The sequence below is a fragment of the Homo sapiens genome, chromosome 1 (assembly GCF_000001405.40).
Source record: "Homo sapiens chromosome 1, GRCh38.p14 Primary Assembly".
NCBI lineage: Eukaryota > Metazoa > Chordata > Mammalia > Primates > Hominidae > Homo > Homo sapiens.
Genome location: NC_000001.11, coordinates 220,335,891 through 220,359,948, shown reverse-complemented (window position 1 = coordinate 220,359,948; position 24,058 = coordinate 220,335,891). Strand labels below are relative to the sequence as shown.

Sequence of the window (24,058 nt, the reverse complement as noted above, 5' to 3'; positions counted from 1 at the left end):
GAGAGGTGAACCTTGTCCCCCAGGTCCTGGCTTCCCACACCAGGGCATGCTGGTGCCATTCACGGAGATAAGAAATACTGGAAGACCAGTGAAATCAGGCTGATCTGGACCTGAGTCACAGCTCCATCAAATGCTGGATTATTCAGGAGAACTTGTATGATCTCTTCAACCTTCTAGATGAGCTCCATTTGTTAAAATTACATTAAATAATATATAAAAAGTGCCTAGACCACTCCTTGACACATAGTAACTGCTTATAAATCTCAGTATCACTACTACTTCTCTTTCTGCTGCATACACCAGCATAGATATCAAGCGTCTGTGCTTTCAAACTATCCAGGAAGAACTATACTATGGAAGTGACCCACAGCATTTACAGAGGAAACACAGATATAGACAAATATAAATCCTAAGTAAGGGAGTGTGTATTAGTCTGTTTTCACGATGCTGATAAAGACATACCTGAGACTGGGTAATTTATAAAGAAAAAGAGGTTTAATGGACTCACAGTTCCACGTGGCTGGGGAGGCCTCACAAGCATGATGGAAGATGAAAGACATGCCTTACATGGTGGCAGGCAAGAGAGAGAATGAGAATGAAGCGATAGGGGTTTCCCCGTATAAAGCCATCAGATCTCATGAGACTTATTTACTACCATGAGAACAGTATGGGGGAAACCACTCCCATGATTCAATTATCTCTCACTGGGTCCCTCCCACAACATGTAGGAATTATGGGAACTACAATTCAAAATGACATTTGGGTGGGAACACAGCCAAACCATATCAAAGTAGTAGGACTAAAGGAAAGAACACATGAAGTGCATATTAATTATTTTTCTGAAGAAACGTGATGAGCTTTGCATAAAATTATAAGTGCTATATAAAGTAGTATTGTATCAATCAACATAAATGTGTGACTGCTGGGCAAACATACCTCTGGCTTCACATCCTCAACCCTCACCTCTAAGAATTACTGACCAAAAAGTACTGGTGAGAAGCATTTGAGTCTGGGGTTTGTCAAGCAGCAGGATAACTGCCATGGCACTGCTAGAAAGAGATTGCTGGTGTCGGCTGGGCGGGATGGCTCACGCCTGTAATCCCAGCACTTTGGGAGGCCGAGGCGGGCGGATCACGAGGTCAGGAGATCGAGACCATCCTGGCTAACACGGTGAAACCCCATCTCTACTAAAAATACAAAAAATTAGCCGGGCGAGGTGGCGGGCAACTGTAGTCCCAGCTACTTGGGAGGCTGAGGTAGGAGAATGGCATGAACCTGGGAGGCAGAGCTTGCAGTGAGCCGAGATCGCGCCACTGCACTCCAGCCTGGGTGACAGAGCAAGACTCCGTCTCAAAAAAAAAAAAAAAGAGATTGCTGGTGTCTTCCTTGCAGATACCTCCCAGTAAATGGAGCAACCTAAAGTGGCAATCATGATTACACAGAAAGTGAGGGAGATCAAGGCTGAGATATGGCTCACTTTCATTCTGCTTTAACTAAAAACACCACCTCCAGTTTCTGTGACCCAGAAAGGATTAACTTCCCAGACGGAATTTAAATCCTACATTCATCCACTGACTGATGTGATCCCGGGAGGAGCACTGTAGGTTTACCCAGTTCATCATTCACAAGTTTTCTGCTGTCCCTCTTCACACCAAATCATAGAAGATTCATGACAATCATTTAGGTACCTTCTTAAGAACGCACAGGATAGTGTGTGTCAGAGAATAAGGGGCTCAGTCTCACTGGATTCACAGAGTAAGGGTGTGGTTTCTGGAATTGGAGTGGCAAGGTCATTGGCCCTCTTCACAATGACTTAGACTTTGCTTATCCTGACAAATCCACCAAAATGGTGCCAAAAATATACCCTGACTTAGCAACACTGTTCTTGCCTTTTTGCCACCTAAGTAAAGACCACGAGGTTTGACACATGTAGGTGTCTGACTGTTAAAGCAATAGTCAAAAGAGAATCTAGAAATCTTGCCACCATTTTCAAGATTCTGATATATCTTTCAGGCTTTTATTCATTCATACTTACTGAGGACCTACCATGATTCAGGCATTATTTCTCTATGCTAGTTATGGGGCTTTACTAGAGGCAATAAAGCAAGATCCTGCACTCAAGGAATTCACACATCTAATTAGGGAGTCGATGAATGCCACTTGAGCCCAATGCAGGGGGTGATATGATAGTGCCCTAGCAAGGGTTGCCACAGGGCTCTAGGCTCCCTATGCATGTGATTCAACTGACCACACAGCAGTATGGCTTTTCATTTACCAAATAGTTGCTGGATGTCTACCATGTGCCAGGAACTGCTTAGAACCTGAGGATTCAACGGGGAACAAAAATAGACACACTCCAGGCCTTCATGAAGATGAAGTCACAGTCTTTGGAGTTATAAATATCTAGGTTCAAATTTTATCTCTACTCTTTAGTAGCTAGGTTATCTTGGGCATATTTTATAATCTCACCAAACCTCTGTTTCTTTATCTGGAAAATAGGTATAATAATAGCACCCACATCTCACCTTATTATAACAGAGTAAGAGAAATGAGAAAACACATATGCTGGTCACCATTCTTGACAGAGTACATGCATAAGTGCTAATTTTAGAATGTCTATGTGTGTGTGATTAAAACCAAGATGTTATCTTTATTCAGGCCTTAGAAAATTAACCTGAAATAAAATGTCAGAGCCGAGAGTCCTAGAGAGTACGAAAAGGACCAAGATTCAGGACAAGTGTGTGTGTGTGTGTGTGTGTGTGTGTGTGTCTCAGTGATTGGGTTCCTAGCTTCTCACCACCTACAAACACAGCATGCTATACCCACATGTACATTTCCATTTAACTCACTAGTGAGATTTGTTTAGGGTAACAATTTAAAAATATATATTTTTAGTCATAGCCAAGAAAATATCAGAATCCAAATATCAATATCTGTTTAAAAGATAAGGTTCCCAGGCCAGGCGCCGTGGTTCACACCTGTAATCCCAGCACTTTGGGAGACGGAGGCAGGCGGATCACCTGAGGTCAGGAGTTCGAGACCAGCCTGGCCAACACGGCGAAACCCCGTCTCTACTAAAAATACAAAAATTAGCCAGGCATGGTGACGGGCACTTGTAATCCCAGCTGCTGGAGAGGCTGAGGCAGGAGAATCACTTGAACCCGGGAGGCAGAGGTTGCAGTGAGCTGAGATCATGCCACTGCACTCCAGCCTGGGTGACACAGCGAGACTCCATCTCAAAAAAAAAGACTCCATCTCAAAAAATAAATAAATAAATAAGGTTCCCTCTGCTAATCTCAGAAAGCTAGAGGTGTTTTTCCACAAGGGACGTGAAGTATGAAAAGTATAAAAATCTTGTCAACCATGTAAGTTACATTCATTTTTTTTGGCCCGGCTATGTTTTGAGTCCTTGTCTCTCCTAGGTAATCAGTTTTTTAGAGAGACAAATAAGGACCCAGGCATACTACATCCAAAAAATCTTAATATAACATATATAACAAATTATTCCTAAGTTAACATAAAACTATGAAAATGGGCATTTATATGAAATTATGTGTTATTCTACATTTTTCACTTGTCTGTCATGTAAATGCTATTACTTACACAAAATAATAACAGAACTAGCTAGGGTGAATTAGCAGCAATTAATAGTAGGACTAAGTAAACAAAAAATATGTGTGAGAAAAATATAAAAATATTTTTATAGTGTTTAGTCTAATACAGCAGGGGTCCCCACAGTAGCGGCCACAGACCACTACTGGTCTGTGGCCCGCTGGGAGCTGGGCCACACAGCAGGAGGTGAGCAGCTTCCAGTGAGCTTTACTGCCTGAGCTCCGCCTCTGGTGAGATCAGCGGGGGTGTTAGATTTTCATAGGAGCATATATGTTGTGAACTGTGCATGTAAGGGATCTAGGCTACATGCCCCTTATGAGAATCAGTTTCATCCCCAAATCATCTGACCTCTCCCCTGCTCCTCTCAAATTTGTCCCTGGAAAATTTGTCTCCCACAAAACTGGTCCCTGGTGCCAAAAAGGTTGGGGGCTACTGTAATACAGCAATGTATTTTAACTCTTCAGTTTTTGTTTTGTTTTGTTTTGTTTTTAGAGAAAGATACTTGCTCTGTCATCCAGGCTGGAGTGCAGTGCCACAATCGTAGCTCACTGTAATCTTGAACTCCTGGCCTCAAGCAGTCCCCCTGTCTCAGCCTCCTGAGTAGCTAGGACTACAGGAATGTGCCACCACACCCAGCTAATTTTTCAAAATTATTTTTTATAGAGATGGGGTCTGACTATGTTGCCCAGGCTGGTCTTAAATTCCTGGCCTCAAGAATTCAGCCCTCTAAAATGCTTGGATTACAGCCAGAAACCACCACACTTGGCCACTTCTTAAGTACTATAAGCTATATTATTGTGTGTTCTTAAGATACATAAATATAAGGCTTTTTTTTTAACGTAACAGAACATAACTACAATTGGACTAATTGAACTGATATTACCAATATTTAACAAAAATTAACAGTGACGTGTTTCTTTCTCTACCAAGATATAGTAGGCTATTTTACTGTTTCCTTTTCTAATGATCCTTCTCTGGACTGCCCATGGCCTTTAGTAAATTCTTTCCTTCTTTATGTAGTGATAAACTGAATAATCAAGTTCACTTTGACCCATACTTCTGATCTTATCAAGCACATATTTTCAATGGCCAGCACCAGTGATAGCTGTCCTGTAGGCACACATCTAAGGATATCTCCTTCCATGCCTACAAAGTTAAAAATCTTACTGAGTCCTGCTGCACATTTTAGGAAACTGAAACTTAATCGACCAGGCATGGTGGCTCATGCCTGTGGTCCTAGCACTTTGGGAGGCCAAGGCAGGAGGATCACTTGAACTCAGGAGTTTGAGATAAGCCTAGGTAACCTAGTAAGACCTTGTCTCTATAAAAAATAAAAATAAAATTAGCCGGGTGTGGTAGCATATGCCTGTAGTCCCAGCTACTCAGGAGGCTGAGGTGGGAGGATTACTTGAGCCCAAAGAGTCAAGGCTCCAGTGAGCCTTGATGGCACCATGGCACTTCAGCCTGAGCAACAGAGGGAGACCTTGGGTCAAAAAATAAAAAAAACTTCGTAAGCAAAGACTATATCTTGAGCAATATTAAGCAAAATCATTCTGTAACTAATAACCAAAGTCTTATTATAAAAATGAAGATGTGTAATATAGAATAGGGGTCTTCTGCATTTCTTGCTTGCATGCCCAAGAATTTTGAAAACTACGTACCCTCTCACAGATTTTAACGTTGACATATAAAAATCATATATACATTTGCTGGTATATTTAAATATGACATTTCAACATAAAACTGTTACATTATCCAATAAAATGTAATATCACAACCATTTGATACCCACCATCATTCACTTTAAAAACATAAGAAAGCTTATTTTTTAACATTTGGAAATTTAACATATTTCTTTATCCTATTTAAATTCATGTTTCTCTTCTGCTTCCCCACAAAAAAAAATCTATCCTGATATGTTTTACGGTCAAAAGTCTTTTGTTTAACTTCTTTGATCACCTCATGATAGCTACAATTTTTAAAAAGTATATTAATTAAAATTTAGAAATTAAAATGTTCGATTTATTTCCAGTGACCTAAAGTGTTCAATGTTTTTTAAAATATTGAATTGCATTGAAACTATGATGATCACAACCAAATAAATATTTTTATAAATATTGATTATAATAATATATAAAATCATATAGGGAATACGTTTCCTATAAATATGAATCATGATCAATTTTGATCTTTTCTTGTATATAGATTTGTCACTAGCACATATCTTTATTGTTTGTTAATGAGTTTTAAATAATTTAAAAATTTTATAGGATAAATAAGGATTGGTTGTAACTGTAATAAATATTTCATATGACTTTATAATATAGGTTTTAACTATCAGATCTGAAAAAGAGATCACATAAAATTTCATCTGTGTTTTTGCTAATGTATCTTGAAAAAGCTTCTTGTTACAATGAAAAGAATTAGTGTCACTGAAACAGGAAAAGTTCCCTTGTGCCCCTCACAGGGCGTGCGATGAGGGTGTGGCTCCTTTCTTCAGTGCCCCGCTGCTCAAAACCCCCTAGAGGGAGCAGGCAGACAGGCAGGTTGTAGGGAGCGTGGGCTCTGACCCCAAGGCAGCTTCTGGGGGTGAATGTCTACAGCTCCTGAAGCCTCGGCGGGCATGTGTTACCATGTGCTCTTTTAGTTTTTGCCGTCTGTAGGCAGCTTGTGTGAATCAGCTCAATTAGACCCTCTGCCCTATCTCAAGGACAGTGGACTTTGGGTTCTTGCCTTAGTGTACCAGAAAAATCAGATCACACGTGGGCTTGGAGAATGAGTGCAAGGTTTTATTGGGTGGTGGAAGTAGCTCTCAGCAGATGGATGGGGAGCCACAAGCGGTATGGAGCATGCAGTGGGAAGGTGGTTTTCCCCTGTAGTCGGGGCGGGCAGCGGCTGCGGTCTCCTCCCACCATCCCGACCAAACTCCACGTCGTTTCGTCGGTCAATGGCCTGGCAGCGTCTGCTGGTGCCTGTCGGTGTGCTCTTCGGCCAGTGTGTTCCTCTCCATGTCCACCCACTTCTGTCTCTGCCCACTAGGGTCTCGGGGCTTTCATGGGCACAGGACGGGGGCGGGGCAGGACAGGGGGTGGTCTTGGAAAATGCAACATTTGGGCACAAAAACAGAAATGCCTGTCCTCGCCTAGGTCCGTGCCCACAGGCCCGGAGGTGGGGCCCTCACCAGGGACCCTGTCTTCCTTCTCCCAGCACTTCTCTGCACTCCTCTGCCCTCCTCCCGTATCATCCCCACCCCATATATGTTGTTCAGACACGACTTGCTTTATAGCTATAAAGGAGTAAGCAATACTCCTTTGAAAATAACTGGGAAAAGGTTGCATGTAAATGTCTTACTGAATCTATTTTTAGCATTCTATATTCCTTATGGACAGTTTCTGCTTTCTTTTATAAGACTCTCCCTCAATAGTCAGGAAATGAAAGAGGCCAGGCTATTAAAAAAAAGTATCACTTCTCCCGCCACCCCACTCTACCATGTATCTAAATCACAACTTCCCAGCATAGGGAATGCTACTCTCCACCTTTAATAGATAGAAGAATAATGCCAGGAAAGGCAGGAAGCCTAGGGTTCATGGTCCCTTCATTACCCATCAAAGGAAACCCTCCCTTTGCCTGGCTCTTTGAGGTTTTTACATCCTAGGGCAATGTGCCCATAGTAAGATTTAAAATAGGTGAGGGAAATGAAGAGCTATTGTGAACACAGGTCTGTTCTCTAGGAAAGAATATCTCAAGTAGGAGGGTTGAAGATCCAGAAACTGATTTTCTTAGAAGTGCACACTATATACCTTCAAAAAATGTATGAAGATATACACACCCTTTGGGGTGTGTACTCCAGTTAGAGGACCACTGAATAGAAGAGTTTGGTTTTTAAATAAGTGATATGTATGTAGACCAGAATCCCAGAGCTGTCGTTGCTAGTAGCTGCGTGACCTTAGGCAAGCTGTTTAGTCTCCCTGAATCTCAGTTTTCTCGTGGGTATTCTCGTGGGTAAAACGAGAATAATGGGACATATAAAGTTATAGTGACAATTAAATAAGGTAATATATATAAAGCAACTAATACATAACCTAATACAGTGGTAGGCCCTGAATAAATAGGTTTTATTATATATTTATTATCATTATAATTATCATTATTTTTATTTTGGTACAGAAGTTACTATTATTATTCTCCTGAGGAGGCATAATATTACTAAAATAAAATAGGCACCAAAAGAGAATCCAGAGGAAAACTGAGCCTATTTTGGCAAGGAGGGAATATCCTAAGATTTCACTGCTTGATGGTGAAAAGGCATTAGTGAGGGGAATCAGAATCTGTTATACAACCAATTGGTGTGATTTTTACTACAGAGAATGGTTTAGTCCTTCTCAGTAATCCTGCTGAAGTCTTTGGGAAGTCTCTTATTTATAAACCTCTTTAGGGTTCTACTTCATTATCGTAATGAAGTTTCTGGTGCTTGTGGTTTGTGCAATTGGGTAGTAGAACCCTTTACAGAATTCTTTCCTTAATGAGGTAAAGACCACTTCTTTCAGCTAAAGGGCTTTAGAGGGAGGCAGACTAGAGTCTAGGTCTAAGGACAATTCCAGCCATAATTTACCAGCTAGGATGCTTGAGTGACTCAACTTTTTCCTAATTTGTAAAAGGCTGTAAGAATGCTAACTTTTCAGGTAGTAAGAAAAAGGTACATAAAGCCCCTAACAAAAGTACCTGATATGCAGTAGGTGCTCAACAGACAGAAGTTAGTACTATTAAAGAAGATAAGAAGAAACCCCATGGTAAATAATCATTTCTGGCAGAATGTTAAGTACCATCAAAAACAGTCAAAGGACTATGACAGTTCAAAGAAGAGAGAAGGAACAACTTTTTGTTCTGGAAAGGGTTGACGGAGAAAGGCCGTCTGAAAGAGTTTGAGATTGCCCTAACAGGACAGGTTGGATTTTGACAAGTGGAGATGGGAAGAAGGGACATTTAAAGGATAAGAGGTGGAATGAGAAAAGTGCAGAGGTGGGAGATTCTAGGGACTGATTCAAGGGATGAATACTTCCATATGTATATGTGGATGATAGTGAGAGATGCAACTATTGCCTTGTTTATGTACAGTCCCTCCCCAAATGTCAGGTAGAAAAACTCAGAAGGTAATTTGGAGCCATAGTGTGGGGAATTCTGAATGCTGGATTTGGATCTGAAGGTGAAAGAGCTGGTGTCAAAACTGACTCAGAGATGTCAGGTTGGGTGCAGGCCCTCGGCTATAATATGAAGGCAGAAAATAGAACTGGTTTTATATTCCTTACTTATATCTTATAATACCTGGGTTGAATAACATAAGGATATATTTCAGAATACTGTTTGGATAATGTTCTTAGGACAGCATTTCCCAAACCATCTTTTGGATACACAAAAAACTCTTACAGTTAACATACACATACCACGAAATAGTCCATCATGATCACACAAACTCTCTTTCTGAGTTACAATGTCCATTAACATATTAAAGATCCTGAGCAGTCCTGAAACAAATGAACCTTTTTCCTTAATTTAATTCAGCATTTCCCATATGTTTTTCAGCCTAGCATAGTGTCTTCACAGCACACTTGTTAAAGGCTTGGGAAAAGGGGTTCTGCAGACTTCATTTGGGAAATGTGTCTTATACAAGACCTGGTTAGGCAGCTGAATTATAGTTTTGAGAGGTTTGGCGGAAGCAAGGAGATGGGGGTGAGAGTGGACAGGTTTACAGGGAGAATAGCTCTGTGTGTAAAGCCAAGCTGTCTGACCCAAGAGCTGTATAGATAAGCTTCATTGCAAAAAGTTAATGAGCAGATAAAAGAATTTGGTCATCCTGAAATTTGGCAAGATTGAATAATACTTTCTTGTTTAAACTCTAATTCTTAAAAACTTCTTTAAAAACTTAAGTTTTTAAACTACCTCTTCAAATTCTGTTTGCTGGCTCTTTTAAGAGCCAGAACTCCAGACTGCTTTCTGCTTGTTTTGAAAGACAATTCTGTAGCCTGTCCAAAATTGAGTGTGAAATGGTTAAAAGGTAAAATCCCAGGTCATGGCTGCCAGAGCTCTTTTTGAACTAGTGTTGCTCCCGGCATCTTTGACTCTTTCCTAGTAACAGAGGCCTTTTCAGTTCAGATTGGAGATACACACATTTCTTCCCACTGAAAATGCAGGGGATAGAAAGCAGGTCTCCCCAACTCCCACTGCCCTGTCTTCCCTCCTCCTGCTTGACAGCCTGTGGCAAAACTTGTAGGCAGCAGTTAGAAAGCATTTAGAGAAAAAAACTGGAAAATGACTAAAATATAGAGAGAAACCCCTTGGGAGTAACATGTACCTAGTAATAGATATTTTTTTCAAATAAGATTAGAAGCTAGAAACTTTGCTAACCTGCAGTTGATAAATTTGCGTGGTTTAGAATCCAAACTTTGCGCCGTTGCAGATAACAGAGACTGAAAATTCTCTGTCAACAGAATAAGGACCTTGATAGAAAAACAGTGTGAGTCAAAAATAAGAGCATCTGCAGAACCAGACCAAAATGATCAAAAGATATCAAAACAAAGACAATTCTCCTAGACACATATGAAAATATTTCAATAATCCCTACTGTGGAGGAATTTGAGGTTAGTTATATGAGCCATAAGAGAGTATCTATAGTTTGTTGCAGATTATTATGCTTGAGTTCATTATAAAGCAAGCTATATGTCTATATGTAAATTTAGTCATTCTGAATTAGTGCTTTGTGCTGTATTTATAGTCTAGTGTTTTTAAAAAAATCTCTTTAAATACATATATTAATACATATACCTATAGCAAATAGACTTTTGTGACAACTGCAGACAAGATTTTGGTTCCTAGAATTAACAGACCAGATAATAGCATGCCTTGCAATAGACCATCTTTGCCAGGCTTACTCTTGGCTGATATGCCATAGTTATCCTGCCATATATTGGTGGCATGACTTTCTCCAAATACTATGGCTATATATTAGCTTTAGAAACCAAAACTGAGCTTGACTGTGTTTTGCTAAAATGAAATGCTAAAGGCAGCATCATGGGTTTCCTTCTACATGCATTTATGTCCTGATGAAAAGAGCATTAATTTGTAGGGACATGGATGAAGCTGGAAACCATCATTCTCAGCAAACTATCGCAAGGACATAAAACCAAACACTGCATGTTTTCACTCATAGGTGGGAATTGAACAATGAGAACACATGGATACAGGAAGGGGAACATCACACACCAGGGCCTGTTGTGGGGTGGGGGGAGTGGGGAGGGATAGTATTAGGAGATCTACCTAATGCTAAATGACGAGTTAATGGGTGCAGCACACCAACGTGGCACATGCATACATATTTAACAAACCTGCACATTGTGCACATGTACCCTAAAACTTAAAGTATAATATAAATAAAAAATAAATAAATGAAAAGCTTGACTGTCTTTCTTTCTATTGTAGGGAAGTGTGTATTATACCACAAGACTGGTTTGACTCTGAGAAATGGCACTGCTATGGGATACCTACTCTCTCTTGAAAAGTAGGACTATCAATGCATAATAATAACTTTTCCCACCAACCGCTAGGGCTGATGGCAACCTTAATAAAATATCCGTAGCAGTCAGAAACATGTTTATGCACGTGAAGTATTAGGAAGTTGTGCTATTAGGAAACAGTGCTACTACCACTTACTGTTCAAGGATCTCATTATGCTGTTGACCATGTGATACAAATGTATCTTAGAGTAGAAAAGTCAGAAATAATAAGAGAATTGCCCAGAGACAGGACAACTCAGGGACATGGATAGCAAGAAGAACGCTCTCTAAAGCTCTCGCTTCCCTCCCCTGCCCCTCTCCCAATTCGCTGTGCTGCCATCACAGCCAGACTCTCTCGCATGGTATTTTCTTTCCAGATTGTTCACTTGGCTCAGAGGATGCAGGGAAAATTCATTCACGAAAATCGAAGTGGCATTTAAGAGGAGTGAATGCTCACTCTTGCTCTCACTGGCTTCTATATATTCTGGGGAGAGAAAGAAAAAAGAAAAAAAAAACAAACCTGGGACCCAGACACACACACTCTGAATGTCCTGTGCTGACGGGAGGGAGACTTGGTTCGGCTCCAAATCATAGGCTGTTTGTTACAGTAGGTAGCTAGTCAGGTATGAGCAGGGCAGAAGAGGGCTTCCCCCCACACACCAGGAGTGTTGGGCAACCATCAAGTGATGGTCAGGCAGCTGCTGTTTCTCTAAAGTAATAAGTGGTCACAGCCAGCGCTAGAAGGTAGTCTCCTAATAGATAGAAAACACCGAAACTGATCAGCAGCTTCCCAATAAAATCCCGGAAGTATGCCAACAAATAAAACCACAAGTCAAGATGTCAAGCTGTGCACTTGGTTTCTCAAGTCACCCGCTTGGCCCTCTTCCAAGTTGTACTTTCCTTCTTTTCTCTCCTTTCCCTCCTTTCTTTCCTTACTGTTCTAAAGCTTTTTAATAAACTTTCACTCCTGCTCTGAAACCTGCCTTGGTCTTTTTCTGCTTTATGGCCCTCAATCAAATTCTTTCTTCTGAGGAGACAAGAAATGAAGTTGCTGCAGGCCCACATGGATACACCGCCGGGGTAACTCTGATACCTGCCACCGCCAACATTTTGGTGTGGTGAAACTCGGATATTTGCCACTGGTAACACCTTGGGTTCTCTCATTTCTGGCTCCCATTGCAGAAATCCAGAATGCTGGCCAGTCCCATTGCAAGGCGTCTTTCCTCTGGCCTTTAGTTAGCAGTGATTTCTAAAGAACAAACAGGTATGGAAAAAAGGCTTACCCCTCTGGAGGTACATCAGATGCATCTGGCAAAAGAGGGAAACTTTTTTATTTTTGAGACAGGGTCTTGCTCTGTCACCCAGGCTGGCGTATAGTGACACGGTCATAACTCAATGTAACTCCAATGCTCCTGGGCTAAAGCAATCCTTCTGCCTCAGCCTCCCAAAATTCTGGGATTACAGGCATGAGCCATCATGCCCTGATGGATCTTTTTTACTGTAAGATTTCCTCCCACCCTGGGAAAATTTGATACACCCTGAGGAAGGCTTGCTTGATCTTCTCTTCTATCCACTTCTGTGCAGTCACTATTTTCGGGAGATACTATTTCTCATGGGATTGGGCAAATCCTTGAGCTGTGTTGAGTCAAAAAAAAAAAAAATGGAAAAAGAACCACAGACAGATATAGAGACTCTTCACCTAACTTACCCAACTTTGAATAAGCTGAAATTTGTGCCAAAGGAAAAAGCTAAAACTCTGCTAGAAGGGCTATGACTAATTAAAATCTGAATATTGTTCAAGGTCAGGAACATCCAAACCAGACCATGAAGGATATCTAAGGATCAGGTTGCCAGGTAGAAGAAGAGCTGGGAGAATGCAGAGAGCCATAAACAGGCAGCAAGGTCAGTGACACAAAGAGAGGTTAGGCTCCTATTGCAGAATCAGTTTCAGAGCAATGGTCAGAGTTAGGAAATGGAAGGGAAAGACAATGCTTGAGGCTCTGGGCTAGAGTACAGCACAGCCAGAGAGCCAAGGGCCAGCAGAAAGGACTGTCAGATGGGGGTAAACACGTGGTGAGTCTCCCTCTTGATGAGACCCTCCATCCAACCCTTCTGCTTCTCTGACAATTTTCTAGCTGCAACACTTTCTGCTTCTGGGGCAGCTTTGCTAACAGGTGTTTTCTAATTACCTGAAGACCTCAGGTACCCTTCCTCAGCATCCTTAAGAAGATCTTTTTTTTTTTGAGATGGAGTCTCACTCTATTGCCCAGGCTGGAGTGCAGTGGCGTGATCTCGGTTCACTGCAACCTCTGCCTTCCAGGTTCAAGTGATTCTCCTGCCTCAGCATCCCAAGTAGCTGGGACTACAGGAGCTCGCCACCACACCTGACTAAGTTTTGTATTTTTAGTAGAGATGGGGTTCCACCATATTATTGATCAGGCTGGTCTCGAACTCCTGACCTTGTGATCCACCCGCCTCAGCCTCCCAAAGTGCTGGGATTACAGGCGTGAGCCACTGCGCCCGGCCCAAGAAGATCATTTTATGTGAGGAAAGGAAAGCACACTTTTCTATTGTTTGCCTTTGGTCTTCTATATGAAATAATCACAAAAATGTGTGTTGTTAAGGGCCGATTTTTTAAACAAAATATTTGGCTTTTCCCCATGCTGAATTGAATTCCACATTTAGAGAACTCTGGTTTGTTGATGTGGAGATTTAATTTATATTTCCAACTCCACATTAGCATCTTCCTGAGAACTCAAAGGCAAAACATAGTCTAAGCCACCCATTTTCTTCCTTTCCCTTAACCCTGGAAGCCTGACACCTTACCCATTCCTTAGCTTTGCGCAGATGCAAATCCTGGCAAGATGAAATGCCTGCTCAGCAAGTGCTGCTAGACAAGTGAGACGGCTGCCACAAACCATGGGTGGCCAGTGTTGAATTGTGATACCACTCAGGAGGGGCAGGATCAGGAAGGAATGTTTTGGCCCATGTTTTGCCATGTTACCATTGCAAGAATAACTGCAATGTTGTGCCATGGATCTCAATTCCAATTTATATTTCACACTATCAGGCAGATTTCAGATAAAAGAGCTTCTGACCCAAAGCCCCTTGATGTCTTATCAAGCCACATTGGATTCATGCCATTGCTTCTTGGACTCTGTCTACATCTTTGAACACACTTCATCAATGAACTAAATCTAGATCCCCTACATCTTTCTCAAAGCAGAAAGTAGGATTCATTTTCACGTTCAAATCATCAAATGGGTCAAAACTATGGTCAGAGAAGGCAGAGAAAAATGTATAAGATGAGATCAAGAGGTAATAGGTATTTGGGCAAGATTCTGCCATTTATTCTGGCCTCTCTCTTGAACTGCAGCAATAAGCACCATTAGTGCCCTTAATTGTAACATTTATAAATTAGTGAATTTCTACAAACACAAAGAAACTAGCCCTCTCATTTTCTTTACTGAACAAAATGTGCTTCTTCATGAAATTATCAAGCTATCATTTAAGGTCAGTGTCACTCGTAATTAATTCATTATGAAATAATTTTGAAGAGAAAATGATCCTTTCTTCTTACTATGATAACTAACTTATTTTTAAAAAATGGAATACATGTATTACAACCTGTCAGAGTAAGGCATTTTGATTAGTTCTGAATCATTCTTCTGGTTAACAGAGAGATGCCGTAATAAAGCTAGGGCTATTATTTCATAAGAAGGAGGGTCAGGATCATGTTAAAGAAGGTCAGTGAAAGAGCAAAATTGGGGCTTTCCATGGTATGACTGCTTTTAGGTAATTGAAGAGAAATTAGCCATGGTTTTTGCTGATGGGGTAGTATTGACTCACTCAGAGTTTCCCCCACCCTACACCACATCCACGTGGGCCAAGACAAAGGCTAAGTTCAGCCACCCCTCTCTTGGGAGCCAGCAGAAGCCCCTGGGGAAGATTCCACTAATGTCCAGCTGAAGCCTGAGATGGCTGAGTGCGCAAGACACAAGAGGGAACAGGGTTTGGATCTTCTAACCTGTGAAGAGATGCAGTGTGCCCCCAGGAAGAAAGAGGGACTTGGAGTATTCCTCATGTCAGAAGAGCATGTGGAAGACTGGGGAGATGGAGTTAGAGAAAGATAGACAGCTCAGTGAGGCCTAGCACTGCCCTCAGCCCATCCTGCCTCATTCAGCCTTGTACCCCATAAGGAAGCAAGTTCCCAAAATAAACTCATTTCCTCATCCTGCCCTCCATAATGCTTTTATGGGACACTTGATTTCTTCCATCCTCCATTCACATTTCAACGTGTGAGTTTTAGGGAGGACGCAAAAGGCAGCATTGAGCACTCCCTCAGTCATCTCCTGAAGACTGCATTCCCCTTCCTTACACTTCTCCAGGCCTTACTGTCTCTCAGGTAGAGAGTTAGTTGATTCATGACTCTCTCTGCATAGTCATGCACAAAGGAAGGATTCATAGGCAATCTTTCCCTATGGAAAAAGGAAAAGGCAGTCTCTGCAACCTAGAAAGAAAACACTCTGAGAAACTCTTTTCAACACAGCTTCCTGTGCCACTTTACTACAAATCAGAGAAGTTTGAGATCGTGTAGCTAACCCTTCTTGAATCATAGGACTCTGTTCTTTAACTCCTATTGTTCAAGGAAAGAAGTTTGGATGACCACATGTGAAAGATCAAAACTAGCTATGAATTCTTTCAACTTCTCGCATCAAAAGGTAGAGCGTATTTCCTACTCCTTAAAGCTGGACTGGCCTTGTGACCTGCTTTGGCCAATAGAATGTGGCAGAAATGTTATTTTGCTAGTTTGAGCCTAGGCTTCACAGCTTCCACTCTTTCCCCTCTGGAATGTGATGCCATGTGAACAAGCCCAGGGTTGCTTCATCTTAAAGATGAGAAACCACATGGAAAGAGACACCCAGACATGAGTGAGTGGTTCGCACTCCACAGAGTGGAGATGAGTCATACATCTCTTGGTTTTCAAACAAGTCTGCACATTTTTTTGGCTGGGCACAGTGGCTCACACCTGTAATCCCAGCACTTTGGGAGGCCGAGGCGGGTGGATCACGAGGTCAGGAGATCGAGACCATCCTAGCTAACACAGTGAAACCCCATCTCTACTAAAAATACAAAAAATTAGCTGGGCGTGGTGGTGGGCACCTGTAGTCCCAGCTACTGGGGAGGCTGAGGCAGGAGAATGGCATGAACCTGGGAGGCAGAGGTTGCAGTGAGCTGAGACTGCGCCACTGCATTCCAGCCTGGGAAACAGAGCGAGATTCCATCTCAAAAAAAAAAAAAAAAAATTAGCTGGGTGTGGTGGCACATGTCTGTAATCCCAGCTACTCAGGAGGCCGAGGCAGGAGAATCACTTGAATCCAGGAGGCGGAGGTTGCAGTGAGCCGAGATCACACCACTGCCTTCCAGCCTAGGTGACAGAGCAAGACCCCATCTCAAAAAAAAAAAAAAGTCTGCACACTTTTTGATATACCTTACATAACATGGTAGAGTTTAATTATCTTGGTCTTAGTCACTTGCTTTCAGTGAATATAATGCAGTAAAAGTGACGCCACATGACTTCTGAGGGTAGGTTAGAAAAAGCAATACATTGTCCACCAGGCTCTCTCTTGTGACACACGCCTTGGGGGCCCTGAGCTGACACATAAGAAATCTGCCTATTCAGAAGCTGCCATGCTAGAGAGAACACATGGAGAAGCTGCATGGAAATAGAACAAGATGCTCAAGGAGCCCCAGCTGTTTGAGTCAGCCCAACACCAACCAGCAGGCACGTGAGTGAGTGAGTGAGAGCCTCCAGATGACGCCAATCTTTGGGTGACTCTAGGCTGACGCCAGGAGGAACAGAGATGAGCTGTTCCTGCCAAGCTCTGCCCAAATTATAGATTTATGAGAATAAATGTTATTTTATGTACTTATTCATTTTTAATTTTATTTATTTATTTGAGACAGAGTTTTGCTGTTCTTGCCCAGTCTGAAGTGCAATGGTGTGATCTCAGCTCACTGCAACCTCCGCCTCCTGGGTTCAAGCAATTCTTGTGCCTCAGCCTCCCGAGTAGCTGGGATTACAGGCATGCACCACCACGCCCGGCTAATTTTGTAATTTTAGTAGAGAAGGGGTTTCTCCATATTGGTCAGGCTGGTCTTGAACTCCCAACCTCAGGTGATCTGCCCACCTTGGCCTCCCAAAGTGCTGTGATTACAGGCATGAGCCACTGCGCCCAGCAATAAATGTTATTTTAAACCACAGTGTTGGGGTGATTTGTTAGGTAGCAACAGATAACAGATACACTATTGCATTTTATTTATTTTTTTACTCATATTTTGATGTAGGACAGCAAAGTTTCAACTTTGTAATGGGAATATTCATAAATTACTATATAGTCACATAGTAGACAGTAATTCCAATAAATATTGCATTTTCTTAATCTGGTCTGTCATAACTTGGTGAATTCTAGTTAAGGGTACACCTAAGGCTCAGCAGCCTGAGTCAGTGAAGAAGAATATACTGAGAACAAGAAGCTAAAATTAAGAGGGGCGAGGGCTGGAGATACCTGCCTCAGCTGCAGAGGCAGCTGAAGAGTTCAACACATGATGTTTAAAGTTAGAGGAACTCAAGTGAAGGGGAACAAGCTAACAGGTTTAAGAGGGCAGTACACATTTTCAGGTAGGTGAGCAGAGACCACATGGTGGTCACCCATTCCTGGGAGCTCAGCAGGGCTAGAAGTATGGGGAAAACTGTTCTCCAACCCGGAGGAAGGACTTTTCTTCCTGTCTTATGGGACCTAGATAAAGAGACAAAAATAATATACATGAAACCTTCAGAGGGATAATGAACTACTCAGTTACTTGGACTATATGTTCAAAGAACAGAAAGCTTCAGTGTTTTCAACATTAAAATGACCTCCACACAAAAGTATGCATATTAATTCACCTATCACCAGCTGACCTGTCCTTAGGTACAAATAATTAGATTGAAGATGGGTCACAGATGCATTCTATGGCTTGGAAATGATACATAAAATTTCCTAGATATGAATGAAAAGGATTTGTGAGAATAAACCACTACTCTTCAGCAATAGAAAGGTTTAGACTCTGCAGGCATTTGAATGTGACAGTTAAATTTCTCAGCCAGCCCCAAATCATCTCTTCCTTCACAGCAGTGGTTTTTGGAAATCCATTGTATACTCTCTTTTCTTCATGAACTATTCACTCGAGCATCAGCACCATATTTATGTATAAGTTAAATGAAACCTCTCACCATGAGAGAACCCTGTGTTCTAATCAGCAAGCATGAAAAGTAATAATGGAATTGAAGTTATAGATGCTGAGTATTTGTTAGAGGTTGAAAGGTAATATATCATGTGTCCGTGACTATCTGAAATCATCCCATATTCATTCTGTGGGAGGTTACTATAGATTTTCTACACATTTGCCAACAAGAATAAAAAGAAAGAGAGCAATGTTAGAGACTGTGTTCAAAATAACTATCTGTTGCTATTGGTAACTAAGACTTGCAGTAAATTGAAATGTAGGATTCTATGTCTCTTTTTGATTTTCAGATGGTTGAAACTTTTAGAAAAGGGACTTAGTTTATTTTTGGTTTATATAGTTCAAATACTTCTCAGAAGGTCAGTAGGCCTTGGGAAGGTTTATATGCCATATTTAGAGGACTAAAGCTATGTTTTAAATAAGAATGTTTGGGACTTATCAAAAAAATTAAACTTAAAAAATGAATTGGGCCAGGCATGGTGGCTCACTCCTGTAATCCCAACACTTTGGGAGGCCAAGGTGGCCAGATCACTTGAGGCCAGGAGTTCAAGATTACCAACATGGTGAAACCCTGTCTCTACTAAAAATACAAAAATTAGCCAGGCATGGTGGTGGGTGCCTGCTCCCAGCTACTCAGGAGGCTGAGGTACACGAATTGCTTGAGCCCAGGAGGCGGATGTTGCAGTGAGCCGAGATCGCGCCACTGCATTCCAGCCTGGGTGACAGAGTGAGACTTTACCTCAAAAAAAAAAAAAAAAAAAAAAAGAATTGGAAGATAAGTAGGATAGCAGTTGGTGACCCAGCCCCTGGCATGTCCCTACTCATGGCCATCATCACAGATCTTCTCACTTCATGGCAGCTATTACTCATACTCCATGGACCTTTCCAGTGTCCTCTTACAATTGGTTTGGCTTTTTCTCTCAATCTTCACCCTGTGCTCACTCTTTGGACTTGATGAAGGCATTTGGCTAACCCAGTATACACACTGGGACTTTCGCAGTTACAAATAAGAGAGTATTCAACCCAAACTGGCCTAAACCAAAAAGGTAATGTGTTGGCTCATGTGATTGGAAATTTCAGAAGTTCAGGCACATCATGATGCAGGAGTTCAAATGATATTTCCAGGACCCATTTTCTCTCTGTCCCATGACTCAACTGCTGTATTGATTCCATTCTCAGATGGGCTCTTTCCCTGTGGCCTCAGAATGGCTGCCACCTGCTCTGGAAACAACTTATTTCTAGGTTTAAATCTGGTAGAAAACAGTGGGTGTCTTTGATTCAGAATTCTTAAGAACTGTCCAGGCCAGTCATGGTGGCTCACGCCTGTAATCCCAGCACTTTGGGAGGCAGAGGCAGGTGGATCACCTGAGGTCAGGAGTTTGAGACCAGCCTGACCAACATGGTGAAACCCCATCTCTGCTAAAAATACAAAAAATTAGCCAGGCGTGGTGGTGCATGCTTGTAATCCCAGCTGCTTGGGATGCTGGGGCAGGAGAATTGCTTGAACCTGGGAGGCAGAGGTTGCAGTGAGCCAAGATTGTGCCACTGCACTCCAGCTTGGGTAGCAGAGTGAGACTCCGTCTCAAAAATATATATATAAATAAAAAGAAAAGAAAAAGAAATGTCCAGAAATTCACACAGATAAGACCAGTCTAGATCCCACTCTTGTGCCAAGAAAACATGGTATGCCAGTTGACTCAGGCCTCAATCCAATTTCCACCCCCAGACCTAGAGCTCCATCTAGACCACAAGGAATGAAATGCATAAGGGATGAATCTCAAAATGAAAAAGGGGGCTATTGACAGGAAAGGAAGGATTGGATGCCAGGGATGCACACAAAAAATACCCATTACATCTGGTTTTGACCCTTAGCTCTCCCTGGGCTCAGATTGCACTCAATACTCCAGTTATATTGAACTCTATTCCTCTAACTTGCCGTGTTCTCTTTCCTGTTTGTGCTATCCCGCATACTGAGATACATGCAATGGAGCCTGAGCCTATTGCTTGCCCATCATGAAAGGGTGAAAATGATTTTACTCTAAGACATAGAGTAAGGCTTCCATAATTGAGGTTATTGGACTCTGCCCAGTGAAGCACCCTAGCAACCCCAGAGACCTATAGAAATGAGTATTATTGCTTCCAAAGTGTGCTGATTGTGTATAGGGAAGCACAACTACTTTTCAAAATCTATCCTGATGTAGAATGAACTATAATAGTGAAGGAGACCAGAATATGCCACCCCAAAATAGGCCTTTTTGGCATAAGGATTATTCTGAGCTGAAGGCAATTGAGGAACATCATACCCAGAAAAAGCTCTGAAGCAGAGCATAAATTTCCCTTTCTTAAAGGAAGCTTACATTTTATAAAAGAAATTTACATTTGCAAAAGTGTCTCCCTCTCCCAAACCAGGAAGGAGGAGGATGGCTGCTGCAACTCCTATCAATGGAGAAGGCACCACCTGAAATCTGCATAACAAACCTTGATAAACAACTCTTGTTTCCACACAGCCCTTGGTCACCTTGCATAACTTACCCCCTCAGCAAGCCCCAAACCTCTTTTTCTTTGTCTAGCCTAAGAAGGCATGTAAACACTAAGTTCTGGCTGCCTCCTTGAGCCACATTTTACTTTACCCAGAACCATGCATATGTGTGTAACTAAAACTGTTTTTTTCACTCATTACTCTGTCACTAAAGAGGCTAGAGGAAAAGTTTTCCCTTCCCGACAAAAGAATGTCTGTAGCAGATCTGTAGATCTGTAGTGCCCAGAAGCACTTAACATGGTGGCCAATACAATTTGGGAGTGCTGGCTGGGCACGGTGTCTCATGCCTGTATCCCAGCACTTTGGGTGGCTGAGGCGGGTGGATTGCCTGAGGTGAGGAGTTCGAGACCAGCCAGACCAACATGGAGAAATCCCGTCTCTACTAAAAATAAAAAAATTAGCCAGTCTTGGTGGCATGTGCCTGTAATCCCAGCTAATCGGGAGGCTGAGATAGGAGAATCGCTTGAACCTGGGAGGAGGAGGTTGCAGTGAGCCAAGATTGTGCCACTGCACTCCAGCCTGGGCAACAGAGTGAGACTCTGTCTAAAAAAAAAAAAAAAAAAGAAAATCTATATATATCTATATATATGGATATACACACACATATATATGCGTGTGTGTGCTTTAATCTCTGTTGTTTCAAGAATATTTAAGGATTTATCCTCAAGTAATCAATCCCTTTGAGACTACCAGGCATCTGATGTGGTTGTTCAACCCAGAGAAAAGAAAGCTGACTTCGAGTATATGCAGGACTGAGAACTAAGTAATAAAGTGAAAAAACTAGAGTTATTTTGTGATTTTTTTTTTCAGCATACAAATAGAGCTAAAAGGAGAAGTTCAAACAGAGCACATTTCATTCCATATAAGTTTATTAAGAGTAACTAAGTGCCAGAGTTGAGTGTATAACATTGTAATGACATCAATAAGATAGGACTCTCAAGTAGAAAATAGTCTAACAAGAATCAGACAAATGAACAAAACACACATTATCTCCTTATCAGAGAGTGCTAAAAAATAAAAATTAAAAAATACACACATTAACACGCAAACTAACAAATGTCGCCAAGGTGGCAGTAACCCTGCTTGAGAGTCACTACGCCCTTTCCACTTCTCTTCCAACATTCCCACCTGGAAAAGAGGTGAGCAGGTGCAGGCTCTGCAACACTCTAGTCTCTGCTTGGCGTATTCCAGCTGTGGAATCCTCCTCCCCTATTTTTGCCTTCCCTGTAAATCCTGCTGTTTCCAGGCCATCATGGCACTTTGCTGCTGCTTTCCCTACTGTTGTGAAAGGCCTGTGAACTGGAAGAAGGCTCACTGAATAATTTAAAGGCAGCTTCTCACTTCCAGAAGCAATGCTCTAGTTACCTAAGATAGCATCAGGCCACCCAGCATTCCGTCTGTGCCTGAGGCAGGTATACACTGGTGAGGCATTGTAGCTAAAACAGCCAGTGAGTCAGCAATGGCAACAACCACCCAAAGAATCTCATTAATTGTGGACTTCACTCAGAGATGGGGGATGATGCTGCATGTGGAAGAGAAGCTGGTTAGATTAATTGGTCAGCAGCAGGACAGCAGGCAAAAGTGTGCTATGTCAACACATTCATAAAGAGATACATGTTTGTGTTTGTTTTTCAACCAAGGACGCAAGTTTTATCTACTTCCTCTTTACTGCCACAAGCCTGTCAGGCTCTGTCGCCCAGGCTGGAGTGCAGTGGCATGATCTCAGCTCACTGCAATCTCCAACTCCCTGGTTCAAGCGATTTTCCTGCCTCAGCTTCCAGAGTAGCTGGGACTACAGGCGCCCGCCATCACGCCTGGCTAATTTTTGTATATTTAGTAGAGATGGAGTTTCACCATGTTGGCCAGGATGGTCTCGATCTCCTGACCTCATGATCCACCCACCTCAGCCTCCCAAAGTGTTGGGATTACAGGCGTGAGCCACCGGGCCCAGCCAGGCATTTGAATAAACACCTTCGTTAGGGAATTCAGAGGAACACAAATCAAGAATACATTTGAGTCCTAAACATAAACAGAAGAACACCTTCTGTGAGGGAAACAAAATGCAGGAAGATCCAGAACTCCCCAGCAAGCTTTGTTAATTCAAGTCCCCAACAACATTTGTTTCTAAACATTCCTTAAATTCCGCATGTACTCATAAGATTTCTAGGTGTGACTACTGAAATGTGCTGATTTAGTTAGGGCTAAATATTGAACAGTTGCTAACGTTGGAGGAAGAATGGAAACAAATCCAAGAAACAAGCTCCTCTTTATATCCACCCTGTGATGGTTGCTCTTGTTAGTTTAATTAAGCTCCTGGATTAATGCAGGTAAGCCCTTCCTGATTCATTCCTTATACATATAGGGAACCCAGCATGAGCCTAAGCTGGGTTCACTCTAGGACTCAGGCATGTCAAGGCTTGTTGCAAAAACTCATGGGTCAGCAACAGAGACTTACTTATGAGAAAGGTAGAAGAACCTCCCGGAGAAGAACCTTTCTTAGGAAAGAGAGCTTCTAAGGCAAACAAGTTTGATACAAGGACAGTGGTCCAGAGTAGGAGGGGTAAAAGGGCAAAAGAAGTGAGATGGGAGCCCCCTTGGAGGTTGAAGAAGCACCAAACTCCTTTTGTTTTTGAGACTCCTGAAATATTACATTAAGAAATACCAAAACTGGGTTATATAAAGAGGCATTTCGCAAATTTACATTTAACATATTAATGTCTTTAACATTAACACAAAACACATTGCAAATAATGGTATTATTCACAAGATCATGAATGGATTTAGAAGTATTAGTAATTGATAATTTAGTATAGTGATGTGGTCCAATATAGGGACACAAGAAAAGGGCTGTGTGGTGAGTGCTGTCTTCTTTCACTTCAGGTGGCATCTCTCTGAGATGGGATGAATAACCTCATTTGGAGTCATCTCTGTCATTGGCCTGTGTCTGTCCCTCGGAGTATCCTCCTGCTCAGCCTTCACTGACCCAGCCTGAAATCTATGCCTAGGGGCTGCAGGAAAATAGCAAGTAGAAACCACAAGAGCTCTTAAGCTCTGAGAGATGCTGAGCATGCAA

The 24,058-nt window shown here is 41.9% G+C and overlaps 5 annotated features.

The window, feature by feature from the left end:
• Positions 15,035–15,084: an enhancer, noted in NCBI's record as "active region_2557". NCBI's record gives its function as "activates an Ori minimal core promoter by ATAC-STARR-seq in GM12878 lymphoblastoid cells {active_cell/tissue: GM12878}" and the evidence as "EXISTENCE:reporter gene assay evidence [ECO:0000049][PMID:35858748]".
• Positions 20,411–20,917: an enhancer, noted in NCBI's record as "OCT4-NANOG-H3K27ac hESC enhancer chr1:220512374-220512880 (GRCh37/hg19 assembly coordinates)". NCBI's record gives its function as "activates a minimal SCP1, AML or CMV promoter by ChIP-STARR-seq in naive H9 embryonic stem cells {active_cell/tissue: H9 hESC(naive)}" and the evidence as "EXISTENCE:reporter gene assay evidence [ECO:0000049][PMID:30033119]".
• Positions 20,918–21,425: an enhancer, noted in NCBI's record as "OCT4-NANOG-H3K27ac-H3K4me1 hESC enhancer chr1:220511866-220512373 (GRCh37/hg19 assembly coordinates)". NCBI's record gives its function as "activates a minimal SCP1, AML or CMV promoter by ChIP-STARR-seq in naive H9 embryonic stem cells {active_cell/tissue: H9 hESC(naive)}" and the evidence as "EXISTENCE:reporter gene assay evidence [ECO:0000049][PMID:30033119]".
• Positions 22,859–24,058: an enhancer, noted in NCBI's record as "MED14-independent group 3 enhancer chr1:220509233-220510432 (GRCh37/hg19 assembly coordinates)". NCBI's record gives its function as "activates an origin of replication core promoter dependent on BRD2, BRD4, P300/CBP and CDK7 cofactors, and independent of MED14, by STARR-seq in HCT116 cells {active_cell/tissue: HCT116}" and the evidence as "EXISTENCE:reporter gene assay evidence [ECO:0000049][PMID:35650434]".
• Positions 22,949–23,456: an enhancer, noted in NCBI's record as "NANOG-H3K27ac-H3K4me1 hESC enhancer chr1:220509835-220510342 (GRCh37/hg19 assembly coordinates)". NCBI's record gives its function as "activates a minimal SCP1, AML or CMV promoter by ChIP-STARR-seq in primed H9 embryonic stem cells {active_cell/tissue: H9 hESC(primed)}" and the evidence as "EXISTENCE:reporter gene assay evidence [ECO:0000049][PMID:30033119]".